The sequence below is a fragment of the Homo sapiens genome, chromosome 7, assembly GCF_000001405.40.
Source record: "Homo sapiens chromosome 7, GRCh38.p14 Primary Assembly".
In the NCBI taxonomy this organism is placed as follows: Eukaryota; Metazoa; Chordata; class Mammalia; order Primates; family Hominidae; genus Homo; species Homo sapiens.
In genome coordinates this window covers 65,019,994-65,034,536 of record NC_000007.14, presented here as the reverse complement: position 1 = coordinate 65,034,536, position 14,543 = coordinate 65,019,994, and the positions used below count along the sequence as shown (strand labels likewise).

The following is a 14,543-nucleotide window of genomic DNA, read 5'->3' as shown; positions in this document are numbered from 1 at the left end:
CTTGTGATCCTTTTGGATGGCTAGATTTCTGAAATCTTAAACTCTGACATACTTTCTACTTGCCCTCTGTGGCAAATTCTATATTCCAAGGTGGCTGCAACAAGTTCTGCCATCCCATGTGTTTTTTAAATTTTTTATTTATTTATTTTTATTTTTATTTATTTATTTTTTTATTGATCATTCTTGGGTGTTTCTCGCAGAGGGGAATATGGCAGGGTCATAGGACAATCGTGGAGGGAAGGTCAGCAGATAAACAAGTGAACAAAGGTCTCTGGTTTTCCTAGGCAGAGGACCCTGCGGCCTTCCGCAGTGTTTGTGTCCCTGGGTACTTGAGATTAGGGAGTGGTGATGACTCTTAACGAGCATGCTGCCTTCAAGCATCTGTTTAACAAAGTGCATCTTGCACCGCCCTTAACCCATTTAACCCTGAGTGGACACAGCACATGTTTCAGAGAGCACCGGGTTGGGGGTAAGGTCATAGATCAACAGCATCCCAAGGCAGAAGAATTTTTCTTAGTACAGAACAAAATGGAGTCTCCTATGTGTACTTCTTTCTACACAGACACAGCAACAATCTGATTTCTCTATCTTTTCCCCACATTTCTCCCTTTTCTATTCGACAAAACCGCCATTGTCATCATGGCCCGTTCTCAATGAGCTGTTGGGTACACCTCCCAGACAGGGTGGCAGCCAGGCAGAGGGGCTCCTCACTTCCCAGAAGGGGCGGCCGGGCAGAGGGGCCCCCCACCTCCCGGACGGGGTGGCGGCCGGGCGGGGGCTGCCCCCCACCTCCCTCCTGGACGGGGCGGCTGCCGGGCGGAGACACTCCTCACCTCCCAGACGGGGCGGCTGCCGGGCGGAGGGGCTCCTCACTTCTCAGACGGGGCGGCCGGGCAGAAACGCTCCTCACCTCCCAGACGGGGTCACGGCCGGGCAGAGGCGCTCCTCACATCCCAGACAGGGTGGTGGGGCAGAGGCGCTCCCCACATCTCAGACGATGGGCGGCCAGGCAGAGACGCTCCTCACTTCCTGGACGGGATGGCAGCCGGGAAGAGGCGCTCCTCACTTCCCAGACTGGGCAGTCGGGCAGAGGGGCTCCTCACATCCCAGACAATGGGCAGCCAGGCAGAGACGCTCCTCACTTCCCAGACGGGGTGGCGGCCGGGCAGAGGCTGCAATCTCGGCACTTTGGGAGGCCAAGGCAGGCGGCTGGGAGGTGGAGGTTGTAGTGAGCGGAGATCACGCCACTGCACTCCAGCCTGGGCAACATTGAGCACTGAGTGAACAAGACTCCGTCTGCAATCCTGGCACCTTGGGAGGCCGAGGCTGTCAGATCACTCACGGTTAGGAGCTGGAGACCAGCCCGGCCGACACAGCGAAACCCCGTCTCCACAAAAAAATACGAAAACCAGTCAGGGGTGGCGGCACGCGCCTGCAATCGCAGGCACTCGTCAGGCTGAGGCAGGAGAATCAGGCAGGGAGGTTGCAGTGAGTGGAGATGGCAGCAGTACAGTCCAGCTTTGGCTCGGCATCAGAGGGAGACCGTGGAAAGAGAGGGAGAGGGAGACCATGGGGAGAGGGAGAGGGAGACCGTGGGGAGAGGGAGAGGGAGAGGGCTATTTTTATTTTTATAAAATTTTTTTTAGCTCTGTCACACAGGCTGGAGTGCAGTGGTGTGATCTTGACTCACTGCAACCTCCATCAGCCAGGTTGAAGAGATTCTCCTGCCTCAGCCTTTGAGTAGCTGAGACTACAGGTGCCTGCCACCATGCCTGGCTAATTTTTGTATTTTTAGTAAAGACAGGTTTTCATCATGTTGGCCAGGCTGGTCTTGATCTCCTGACCTCAAGTGATCTGCCCGCCTCGGCCTCCCAAAGTGCTGGGATTACAGGTGTGAGCCACCACGCTTGACAACTTACTCTTGAAGTAAAAGAAATACATTCAAAACCAAGGGAGAACATTGACTGATTGATACTCTGTATGAGACTTCACAACTGGACCAGGGGCAAATATTGTGGAGTGCTATATGCATATATTGTGGAGTGCTGAGGTCTGGGCTTTGTGTGTAGCCATGATTCAAATAGTGAACATTGTACTCAATAGGAAATTTTCACCCCTCACCCTCCTCCCATCCTCCCATCTTTTGGAGTCTCCAATATCTATTGCTCCCCATGTGTACCTATTGTTTAACTCCCATGCATGAGAACATTCAGTATTTGACTTTGTTTCTGAATTATTTCACTGAGGAGAATGGCCTCCAGTTCTATCCACAGTGGTGCAAAAGACATGATTTCATTCTTTATGTGGCTAGGTCATGTTCCGTGGCGTACATGTACCATATTTTCTTTATCCAGTCATCTGTTGATGGACACTTAGGTTGATTCCATATCTTTGCTACTATGAATAGTGCTGTGATAAACGTATGAGTACAGGTACTTTTTGATATATTGATTTCTTTCCCTTTGGGTAGATACCTAGTAGTGAGATTGCTGGTTGGATTGCAGTTCTATTTTTAGTTTTTTGAGAAATCTCCCTACTGTTGTCTGTAATGGTTGTACTAATTTACATTCCCACCAACGGTGTATAAGTGTTCCTTTTTTCTCTGAACCCTCACCAACATCTTTTGTTTTCTGACTTTCAATTTTTTATTTTTATAGAGATGGGGGGGGTCTCATTATGTTGCCGAGGCTGGTCTCGAACTCCTGACCTCAAGTGACCTGCCCACCTCAGCCTCCCAAAGTGCGAGGTTACAGGTGCAAGCCATCTCACCTGACTGTTTTCTGACTTTTTACTAATAGCATGTGCTAGGTGTGGTGGCTGACACCTGTAATCCCAGCACTTTGGGAGGCCTAGGCGGGTGAATCACCTGATGTCAGGAGTTTGATACCAGCCTGGCCAACATGGTGAAACCCTGTCTCTACTAAAAGTACAAAAATTAGCTGGGTGTGGTGGCATGTGCCTGTAATACCAGCTACTTGGGAGGCTGAGGCCGGAGAATCACTTGAATCTGGGAGGTGGAATTTGCAGTGAGTCGAGATTGCACACCTGGACTCCAGCCTGGGTGACAGAGCAAGACATAATAATAATAATAGCATGTGCTCTTCTTCAACATAACTTTAACATTGCTCCCATGGTGAGGTCAGGCCTATGCTCCTCTCCCTTGAATTCAAGAAGGTCTGTGACTGGCAGAAGTGATTCAAGGTAGGTCATAAAAGGAGACATCTTTTCTCCGTGGTCTTCCTGGGATGCTTGCTCTTTGAACCCAGCTACCATGCTGTGAGGAAGCCCAGATCACAGGGAGAGGCCACATTTTGATGTTCCAATCAACAGTCCCAGCACAGGTTTCAGATGACAGCCAACATCAGTTGCCAGACATGGGACTGAAGAAGGCTTTGTGAAGATTCCAGCCCCAGCCACTGCAACAGCATGAGACACCTCGAGTGAAAATCACCTACCTGAACCCAGTCAACTCCCAGAACCATGAAAAAAAAAAAGATTATTTTAAGCACCTAAAGTTTTGTGGTTATATATTATGCAATAAGAGTAACTTAAATATCCTCATTCCCTTCTAGCTTTTTGAATCTCTTACTCACCAAACCTAGTCTCTCTGTGAAGACCTGCTCTGCCTTAATCAATATTTTCCCCATAGACCCAGTGAGAGGTAGGTTGGGTTATCTTCCTACTCTTCATGGCTGCTCAGAGACCATTTCTTCTTCTTCTTCTTCTCCTACTCCTTCTCCTTCTTCTTTCTTTTTTTAGTGATGGAGTCTCCCTCTGTCACCAGACTGGAGCACAGTGGCACAATCTCAGCTCACTGCAACCTCTGCTTCCTGGGTTCAAGTGATTCTCCTGCCTCAACCTCCTGAATAGCTGGGACTACAGGCACAAGCCACCATGCCCAGCTAATTTTTGTATTTTTAGTATAGATAGGGTTTCATCATGTTGGCCAGGATGGTCTTGATCTGTTGACCTCATGATCTGCCCGCCTCAGCCTCCAAAAGTGCTGGGATTACAGGCATGAGCCACCGCACCCAGCTCTTCTTCTATTCCTTCTTCCTCCTCCTCTTCCCCCTCCTCCTCCTTCTTCCTCTTCATCCTCCTCTTCCTCCTTGACAGGGTCTCACCTCCCCAGGCTCCAGCGATTCTCCCACCTCAGCCTCCTGAGTAGCTGTGACCGCATGTGCGTGCCACCGTACCCAGTTGATTTCTTTTTATTTTTTGTAAAGATGGGGGTCTCACTATGTCACTCAGGCCAGCCTCAACCTTTTGGGCTCAAGTGATGCTCCTGCCTCAGCCTCCCACAGTGTTGGGATTACAAGTATGAAGCACTGAGCCCAGACTAATTTTTCATCTTCTTTAGTTAACCTAACTGTCTCTGTGTTCTTCAGCATTCTATTCCCTTGAATACTCAATCTCCTGTGTGGCTGCTGCAAGTCCTGGAATCTTTTTAGGATTTCCTCTCTAAAGGCCATTCAAAAAGTGGTGAGTTAATTTGCCCACAGTCCACAGTCCACATTGCAGCCATCAGCAAAGCCAAACGCCAGCCGTGCCTGGATCTCCCTGCATACCACATTCATCCTTATCTTGCACACATTTCCTTCACTATGCGAGGACAAGAACACTTTTGAGCTAATGAACGTGCATGTTCTCTGTTCAAAGTAAAACACATAATAAATAAACCCCACCAAGATGCTCACTTCCTGGTGGGTCTGTGTGTTAAAAGCAGTTGTCTTCAAATCTAACTCCTATGAATGTTTATACTTCTGTTTATTCTAAAACTCCCTAATTAGAGACTTCCCAGTATCTTGCAATTCCTCAACAAGTCATAGGGAGCCCAGGAATAATTTTTTTTTTGAGACGGAGTCCCACTCTATCGCCAGGCTAGAGTGCAGTGGCACCATCTCAGCTCACTGCAACCTCTACCTCCCAGGTTCAAGTGATTCTCCCTTCTTAGCCCCCCGAGTAGCTGGGATTACAGGCATGTGCCACCACACTGAGCTAATTTTTGTACTTTTAGTAGAGACAGGATTTCACCATGTTGGCCAGGATGGTCTCGATCTCTTGACCTCGTGATCCTCCCACCTCAGCCTCCCAAAATGCTGGGATTATAGGCGTGAGCCACGGTGGCAGGCCAGGAATAAATTATTCAAAAATAATTAACAAAAGGCTTTACCTTGTTTCATCATTTAGTTGATGAACTTTTCCAGTTTAATTAGTCTCACCAATATAGAAAACATTTTTAGAAGAGGCCTCTTTGGGTTAAGAACAAGTGTCTTTCTTTCTAGCTGCTCTAGAGAAGAAGAAGAGAAAACAACAAGGCCCATTTTAGGAACATTTTAACCATGAGTAGAACACAACACAAGGAAAACTTTCTCTTTTATATAAGAAATATATTTTGGCCGGGCGTGGTGGCTCACGCCGGTAATCCCAGCACTTTGGGAGGCCAAAGCAGGCAGATCACCTGAGGTCATGAGTTTGAGACCAGCTTGGCCAACAAGATGAAGCCCTGTCTCTACTAAAAATACAAAAATTAGCCGAGTGTAGTGGTGGGCACCCATAATTGCAGCTACTCGGGAGGCTGAGGCAGGAGAATCGCTTGAACCAGGAGGTGGAGGTTACAGTAAGCGGACTTTGTGCCATTGCACTCCAGCCTGGGTGACAGAGAGAGACTCCATCTCAAAACAAAACAAAAAAAAAAAAAAGAAGGAAGGAAGGAAGGAATTTCACAAAAGCGCATTTAATGCAGGCAACTTTTGAGCATCAGAGAAATTGGTCTGGATTAAGTCCAGAGACGCAGTGTTGCGTTGCTTACAAGAATGGTTTGGAATCCCAGCTCTACCGCGTTAATAACTGCCTGTGCCTAGCAAGGTACTTAACTCCCCTTTGCCTCAGTATCTTCTCCATAAAATGGGGATGGCAGTAGTACAGTGGTCCATGCCTCTGAGGGTTTGAGGAGAATCAGTTACATGGTGACAGGCACATAGTTAATGTTCAATAAATGCTATAGCTATTATCTTCATTCTTGTCTCTATGGGTGAAAGAAAAATGCAACATTGGATCAGATTAAATTCTTCTGGAAGCAATGGCTTAAAATAAACTGCTATTCAAAAACTAAAATTATCATACTGGGCTAAAGCTATCCAAAATGTAAGTGATCTATCTTCCAGTAATTCCACAAAATAGATAAATGTGTACACAGTTACTTAGAAGAACATTTAACAACTGCATTTAAATGTAGATTCTTGGCTGGGCATGGTGGCTCACACCTCGAATCCCAGAAATTTGGGAGGCCAAGTTGGGTGGATCACCTGAGGTTAGGAGTTTGAGACCAGCCTGGCCAACATTGTGAAACCCTGTCTCTACTAAAAATACAAAAATTAGTTGGGCATGTTGGCGGGCATCTGTAATCCCAGCCACTCAGGAGGCTAAGGCCAGAGAATCATTTGAACCCAGGAGGTGGAGGTTGCAGTGAGCTGAGATCACACCACTGCACTTCAGCCTGGGTGACAGAGACTCCATTTCAAAAAGAGCAAATAAATAAATAAATGTAAACTCTTGGGCTTTGTTTTATTCATGATTGCCACCAGCAGAGCTACCTAACAATGTATATATATATGTATTTTTTTTGAAATTATTATATTGCTTTATTTGATATTTTCCATTTCTTCCCTTATTAAATACATTTACTTTCATGGCATATTATACTATGTAACTTCTTAGTTCTATTTTTTTATTACAGTTTAAGTTTTAGGGTACATGTGCACAACGTGCAGATTTGTTACATATGTATACGTGTGCCATGTTGGTGTGCTGCACCCATTAACTCGTCATTTAACATTAGGTATATCTCCTAATGCTATCCCTCCCCCCTCCCCCCACCCCACAACAGGCCCCGGTGTGTGATGCTCCCCTTCCTGTGTCCATGTGTTCTCATTGTTCAGTGCCCACCTATGAGTGAGAACATTCGGTGTTTGGTTTTTTATCAAGCCCTCTAGTGACCTTTAAGATCAGGCAAACTCAGGTAATAACATTGAACGGTTGGTGAGTGCATATTTTCCAGGTTAAAATGATATTGGGTATAGAGCAGCAGTTCTCAAATTTGAAGTGCTTAAGAATCACCAGGAAAATTGTTAAAAATTACATGTCCAGAGGTTTAGATATCCAGAGATTTAGATTCAGAGCTCTGGGAGACACTAAAATATCTGCATTTTTTAAACCAGTTTCTTCTCTCCAGGGTGAATAATTCAGAGGCACTTGTGTTCATCCTGTGCTGCTATAACAGGTAATTTATAATGAACAGAAATTTATTTGACTCAGGGTTCTGGAGGTTGGGAAGTCTGAGTAGAGGGGCTACATCTGGTGAGGGCCTTCTTGCTATATCAGACAATGGCAGAAAGTATCACATGGTGAGAGAGAGCAGGAAGGGGGCAGAACTCATCCTTCATAAGAAACTCGCTCGCATCATAATGAACCCCACTCCCACCATAACAACATTAATCCATTCCTGAAGGCAAAGTCTTCCTGACCTAATTATCTCTTAAAGGTTGCACCGCTCAACATTGTTGCATTGGGGATTAAGTTTCCAACACATGAACTTTGGAGGATATATTCAAACCATAGCATTCTGCCCCAACCACCCAAATTCATGTCCTTCTCACCTGCAAAATACATTCATTCCATCCCAATAGCTGCAAAAGTCTTAATTTGTTTCAGGACCAACTCAAAAGTTTAAAGTTCAGAGTCCTATCTAAATCAGATATGGATGAGACCCACCGCACAATTCATTCTGAGGCAACAGCTGTGAGCCTGTGAAATTTAAAAAAAAAAAAAAGGTGCCTCCAAAATTCAATGGTAGGACAGATATAAGGCAGACATTTTCTTTCTTTGTTTTTGTTTTTGAGACGGAGTCTAGCCCTGTCTCCCAGGCTGGAGTGCAGTGGCAGGATCTCGGCTCACTGCAAGCTCCGCCTCCCGGGTTCACGCCATTCTCTTGCCTCAGCCTCCCGAGTAGCTGGGACTACAGGCTCCCGCCACCACACCCAGCTAATGTTTTGTATTTTTAGTAGAGACGGGGTTTCACCATGTTAGCCAGGATGGTCTCGATCTCCTGACCTCGTGATCCGCCCTCCTCGGCCTCCCAAAGTGCTGGGATTACAGGCATGAGCCACCACGCCCGGCCACTTTTTTTTTTTTTTTTTTTTTTTTGAGACGGAGTTTTGCTCGTTGCCCAGGCTGGAGTGCAATGGCACAATTTCGGCTCACTGCAACCTCCACCTCCTGATTTCAAGCGATTCTCCTGCCTTGGCCTCCTGAGTAGCTGGGATTACAGGTGCCCGACATCACACCCAGCTAAGTTTTTTTTTTTTTTTTCTTTTGAGATGGAGTCTCGCTCTGTCACCCAGGCTGGAGTGCAGTGGCTATATCTCGGCTCACTGCAAGCTCTGCCTCCTGGGTTCACACCATTCACCTGCCTCAGCCTCCTGAGTAGCTGGGACTACAGGTGCCCGCCACCACGCCCAGCTAATTTTTTTTTTTTTTTTTTTTTTTTTAGGAGAGATGGGGTTTCACCATGTTAGCCAGGATGGTCTCGATCTCCTGACCTCGTGATCCACCCTCCTCGGCCTCCCAAAGTGCTGGGATTACAGGCATGAGCTCCACCTCTGTGACAAACTTCTGCCTGAGGCACCCAGCTGTTCAATACATGTTTTGAAATCTAGGTGGAGGGCTGGGAGCGGTGGCTCATGCCTATAATCCCAGCACTTTGGGAGGCCGAGGCGGGTGGATCACGAGGTCAGAAAATCGAGACCATCTTGTCTAACACAGTGAAACCCCGTCTCTACTAAAAATACAAAAAATTAGACGGGTGTGGTGGCAGGCACCTGTAGTCCCAGCTACTTGGGAGGCTGAGGCAGGAGAATGGTGTGAACCTGGGAGGTGGAGCTTGCAGTGTGAGCTGAGATCGAGCCACTGCACTCCAGCCTGGGCAACAGAGCAAGACTCTATCTCAAAAAGAAAAAAGAAAGAAATCTAGGTGGAGCCCACCATAGCCCCACAGTTCATATACTCTGCACATATGCTGAGTTAGCACTGTGTGGATGCCACCATGGTTTATAATCCTGTATCTCTTCTGGAGTGGTGGCTAGACCCACTTAAGCTGTTGAAGTTGATTGTATTCATCTATTCTCACACTGCTAACAAAGACATACCTGAGACTGGGTAATTTATAAAGGAAAGAGGTTTAATGGACTCTGTTCAGCATGGCTGGAGAGGCCTCACAATTATGACCAAAGGCAAAGGAAGACCAAAGGCACATCTTCCATGGTGGCAAGCAAGAAAGCATGTGCAGGGGAACTGCCCTTTTATAAAACTAACAGATCTCCTGAGACTTATTCACTATCAATGAGAACAGCATGGGAAAAACACACTCCCATGATTCAATTACCTCCTACTGGGTCCCTGCCACAACATGTGGGGATTATGGGAGCTAAAATTAAAGATGAGATTTGGGTGGGGACACAGCCAAACCATATCACTGGTTTTTCCCCAGGTTCCCCCATATAAGTCAGTGAATGTAGATGGATACTTGTGACAAAGGGAACCATTGTGGTCCAGACACTGAATACACTGAAGTCCCAGCTGCTGCTCTGCCAGGATTCCCTGTCCCACCTGCCAGGACCTCCCCTCAACCACCTCCCTGTTCAGGAGATGCCCATGTATTCAAGAGAGAGTGTTCATAATTTTCTTTTTCTTTTCTTTTCTTTTTTTTTTTTTTTTTTTTTGAGACAGAGTCTCTTGCTCTGTCGCACAGGCTGGAGTGCAGTGACATGATCTCAGCTCACTGCAACCTCTACCTCCCAGGCTCAAGCAATTCTCCTGACTCAGCCTCCTGAGAAGCTGGGATTGCAGGTGCACACCACTATGCCTGACTAATTTTTTGTATTTTTATTAGAGACCAGGTTTTGCCATGTTGGCCAGGCTGGTCTCGAACTCCTGACCTTGAGTGATCTGTCCCACTTGGCCTCCCAAAGTGCTGGGATTACAGGCATGAGCCACCATGCCTGGCCAATTTTCATAATTTTCTTTACTTCCCACTGTGGTGGGAGAACTGGCTTCAGAGAAAGCCATCCTGGACAGGTAAGGTGGCCCCCCAAGGAACAGGTTTCAATCAAATGTTTTGTAGGCAGTGATGCCCGTGCACCCTGGTGAGAAGGAGCATGGTGTGAACATCAGGAACCAGACTTCACCCTGGAGGAAAGGCCACAGGTGGGGGCTGAAGGAGCAGTTCTTACAAGCGATCCTGTGGGCACTGGGGCCACACCACGCACCTTGGTGCACAAGTGTCAGTGTGGCTCAGAGTGGGGTAGAGGACTCAGGGTATTAAAAGCATCAAGGAATCCAGGGAGAGCCACTGCACCCAACTTTACTTTCACCCACAGGCTTTCATCATGTTGGCCAGACTGGTCTCCAACTTCTGACCTCAAGTGATCCACCTGCCTTGGTCTCCTAAAGTGCTGATTACAGGTGTAAGCCACCATGCCTGGCCAAGATTAGGTCCAATTTTTAAAGTAATCTGGAGCATAGAAAATGTTTCTGCAATTATTAATCTTTTTTTTTTTTTTGAGACAGGGTCTCACTCTGTCACCCAAGCTGGACTGCAGTGTCATGATCATGGCTCACTATAGCCTCACCCTCTTGGGCTTACGCGATCTTCCTGCCTCAGCCTTCCAAGAGCTGGGACTACATGCATGCACCATCGTGCCCAGCTAATTTTTTAGTTCTTATACAGACAGGGGTCTCACTATGTTGCCCAGACTGGTTTTGAACTCTTGGGCTCAAGAGATCCTCCCACCTTGGCTTCCTCAAATGCTGGGATTACAGGCATGAGCCACCACACCTGGCCTCACATATTTTGATATATAAAACACCAAAGATCTTTTTAAGGAGCTAAAGAAACCAGTACTTTTTAAAGAAAAAAGTAGTGGGAATGTCTAGTACAACCAAAACCAGGCATCAAAGTCAGCAGTTAAACATTCCAGGCTGGGCACAGTGGCTCATGCCTGTAATCTCAACACTTTGGGAGGCCCATGCAGGAGGACTGCTTGAGCCCTGGGGGGCAGAGGTTGCAGTGAGCCACGATAATACCACAGTATTCCAGCCTGGAAGACACAGTGAAACCCTGTCTCAAAAACAGATAAACAAACAAATCAATCAATCAATCCAGAACCAGTGCTCACTTCGGCAGCACATATACAAAAATTGGCATGACATGGAGAAGATAAGCATAGTCCCTGTGAAAGGATGACAAACAAATTCATGAAGCATTCCATATTTTAAAAAATATTTCAGAACCAAGAAAATAAATGAATCAAAAGAAAGGGAAGACCTTGGTGATTCCTTTGATATCAGAAAAAATCGGCCGGGCACAGTGGCTCATGCCTGTAATCCCAGCACTTTGGGAGACCAAGGTGGGCAGATCATTTGAGGTCAGGAGTTGGAGACCAGCCTGACCAACATGGTGAAACTCTGTATCTACTAAAAGTCCAAAAATTAGGCCAGGTGCCGTGGCTCATGCCTGTAATCCTAGCACTTTGGGAGGCCAAGGCGGGCGGATCACTTGAGATCAGGAGTTTGAGACCAGCCTGGCCAACATGGTGAAACCTTGTCTTTAATAAAAATACAAAAATTAGCCGGGTGTGGTGGTGGGCACTTGTAATCCCAGCTACTCAGGAGTCAGAGGCAGGGAGAATCACTTGAACCCAGGAGGTAGAGGTTGCAGTGAGCTGAGATCGCACCATTGCACTCCAGCTGGGGTGACAGGGCAAGACTCCATCTCAAAAAATAAATAAATAAATAAATAAATAAACTACAAAAATTAGCTGGGCATGGTGGCACATGCCTGTAATCCCAGTTACATGGGAGGCTGAAGCAGGAGAATCTCTTGAACCCGGGAGGCGGAGGTTGCAGTGAGCTGAGATCACACCACTGCACTCCAGCCTGTGTGACAGAGCAAGACTCTGTCTAAAAAATTAAATAAATAAATAAAATAAAATAAAATAAAGTTCTCATCTGCAATTCTGAATTTGGCAAGAAGAGTGAACTGTGGCCCAGTGACCGGCACACAGCATTTTAGAGTTCATGGTGTAATCCTTGGGAAACTCTTTTCGCCAAAGTTGTGGCATCTTCTCTGGCCACTCACTTTATTCAAAAGACCTGGCTCAAAATGACTATTTATGGAAATCAACTCTAGCCTCAAAAGACAAAACCACTGTAGTTCTAAAGATATTCAAAAGAATTAAGGTTATTAAAAAGCAATGAAGGGCCAGGCACAATGTCTCATGCCTGTAATCCCAGCACTTTGGGAGGCTGCAGCAGAAGGATCACTTGAGGCCAGGAGTTTGAGACCAGCCTGGGCAACATAGTGAGACCCTGTCTCAACAAAATAATTTTAAAAATTAGCTGGTTGGCCGGGTGTGGTGGCTCACGCCTGTAATCCCAGCACTTTGGGAGGCCGAGGCGGGCGGATCACAAGGTCAGCAGATCGAGACCATCCTGGCTAACATGGTGAAACCCTGTCTCTACTAAAAATACAAAAAATTAGCTGGGCATGGTGGCGGGTGCCTGTAGTCCCAGCTACTCAGGAGGCTGAGACAGGAAAATGGCGTGAACCTGGGAGGCGGAGCTTGCAGTGAGGCAGTGAGCCGAGATCACGCCACTGCACTCCAGCCTGGTCGACAGAGCGAGACTCGGTCTCAAAAAAAAAAAAAAATAGCTCGGCATGGTGGTGTGAGCCTGTTGTCCCAGCTACTCCAGAGGCTGGGATGGGAGCATCACTTGAGGCCAAGAATTGGAGGTTGCAGTGAGCCAGGATTGCACCACTGCTCTCCAGCCTGGGTGACAGAGAGATTTTGTCTCTAAAAATGAAATAAAGGAAGCAAGGAAGGGATTCTCCTCCAAATACTCCCACTTCATTTGGGGCAATTACAAGATTCCAGGAAACATGGAAAACCTATCCTGATTACCTTTTTGGATATATGCTAATGGGAAAACAAATCTCATTAATTAACTCACAGAACAGCTAAGAGAAAAGGATCTTAGGGGACGTGTGGTTTCACTCCTAAGTTTAAACATGAGGAAATGGGTACCAAAGAGATGAAAATAACTCACCAGGTAGAGAGAGAAGAGCCTCTCTTACTACAAGGGGTCTCTCACTGAAAAACCAGCGAAACTCGTTCCTTGCCTGCATTCTCCAAGATCATAGCCCAACATAGAATAGAAATGTCTCCACTTCAGAGGACAACCGGTTTGTCCTTTGCCTTTTACACCCCTTTCAGCAAGGAGTATTTCTCAACTTTGTATTTGTGCAAACCCTTGAGCAGCACAAACTTCTTAGCTAAGAGACACTCCACTCTGTTTGCAATTGAGGGCAAAGGCTGGGATGCTTGGGCACAGCTCCAAGGTCCTTTCCCAGAAGTCTGGGGTGCCTGAAAAAAAAAAGCATTTATTTTTCACACACTGAAGAGACTTGGCTCATCAAGTAGAGGTAAACTTTCTCTGTCTCTCTCTCACTATATATATATTTAAAAAAATTTTTTTTTTTGAGATGGAGTTTCACTCTTGTTGCCCAGGCTGGAGTGCAATGGAGCTATCTTGGCTCACTGCAACCTCCCATTTCCCGGGTTCAAGTGATTCTCCTGCCTCAGCCTTCCAAGTAGCTGGGATTACAGGTGTCCACCACCACGCCCAGCTAATTTTTGTATTTTTATTTATTTATTTTACTGACTTATTTTTATTTTAATTTTTTTCGAGACAGAGTTTTACTCATCACCCAGGCTGGAGAGCAATGGCGCGATCTTAGCTCACTGCAACCTCCACCTCCTGGGTTCAAGTGATTCTCCCTTCCTCAGCCTCCCAAGTAGCTAGGATTACAGGCACCCACTGCCATGCCCAACTAATTTTTGTATTTTTTAGTAGAGATGGGATTTCACCATGTTGGCCAGGCTGGTGTCAAACTCCTGACCTCAAATGATCTGCCTGCCTCAGCCTCCCCAAGTGCTGGGATTATAGGCATGAAACACTGCACCCGGGCTCAGACAACTTTTTTTTTTTTTTTTGAGACAGAATCTTGCTCTGTCACCCAGGATGGAGTGCAATGGCATGATCTCAGCTCACTGCAACCTCCGCCTCCTGTTTTCAAATGGTTCTCCTGCCTCAGCCTCCTGAGTAGCTAGGATTGCAGGCACCCACCACCATGCCTGCTAATTTTTGTATTTTTAGTGGAGATGGGGTTTTGCCATGTTGGTCAGGCTGGTCTCGAACTCCTGACCTCAGGTGATCCGCCCGTCTAGGCCTCCCAAAGTGCTGAAATTATAGGCATGAGCCACCACAAACAGCCCTTCTTCCATTCTTGCTCAAATTTTCCTTTTCTTCTTCTCTGTCTTTCTGCCTCCTTTTTTTTTTTCTTGATACCCTGGAAACCACAGGGAATACATATTAATCTTAATTCCAAGGGCAATCTTTAAAATTTCCTTTAGAGCCAGGGCCTT

The 14,543-nt window shown here is 46.5% G+C and overlaps 2 long non-coding RNA genes and 1 pseudogene across 3 annotated transcripts in view, besides 2 other annotated features; 2 read left to right on the top strand and 1 right to left on the bottom strand.

Annotated features, from left to right (window-relative positions):
* LOC105375330 (uncharacterized) overlaps nucleotides 1–14,543 on the top strand; it is a 29,588-nt gene that overhangs the window by 3,725 nt on the left and 11,320 nt on the right. The window contains exons 3-4 of one of the 2 annotated variants that reach the window (XR_001744932.2): nucleotides 3,573–3,661; nucleotides 4,389–4,679. This is a non-coding gene — a long non-coding RNA (uncharacterized LOC105375330). Of the gene's footprint in view, nucleotides 1–3,572; nucleotides 3,662–4,388; nucleotides 4,680–14,543 lie in introns of those variants that run through there. The other variant, XR_927607.1, reaches the window with a different exon arrangement.
* Nucleotides 309–509: a silencer, noted in NCBI's record as "peak6535 fragment used in MPRA reporter construct". NCBI's record gives its function as "represses an SCP1 promoter by STARR-seq MPRAs in K562 erythroleukemia cells {active_cell/tissue: K562}" and the evidence as "EXISTENCE:reporter gene assay evidence [ECO:0000049][PMID:32103011]".
* On the bottom strand, nucleotides 5,111–7,797 carry LOC105375329 (uncharacterized). Its single transcript, XR_927606.2, has 3 exons — nucleotides 7,659–7,797; nucleotides 5,813–6,028; nucleotides 5,111–5,290 (listed from the first exon to the last, which is right to left on the bottom strand). It is a non-coding gene; the product is annotated as an uncharacterized LOC105375329 (long non-coding RNA).
* Nucleotides 11,227–11,333, top strand: RNU6-1229P (RNA, U6 small nuclear 1229, pseudogene; annotated as a pseudogene).
* Nucleotides 13,970–14,177: a silencer, noted in NCBI's record as "fragment chr7:64480738-64480945 (GRCh37/hg19 assembly coordinates)". NCBI's record gives its function as "represses an EF-1alpha promoter that drives an FKBP-Casp9 reporter gene in an ReSE screen in K562 erythroleukemia cells {active_cell/tissue: K562}" and the evidence as "EXISTENCE:reporter gene assay evidence [ECO:0000049][PMID:32094911]".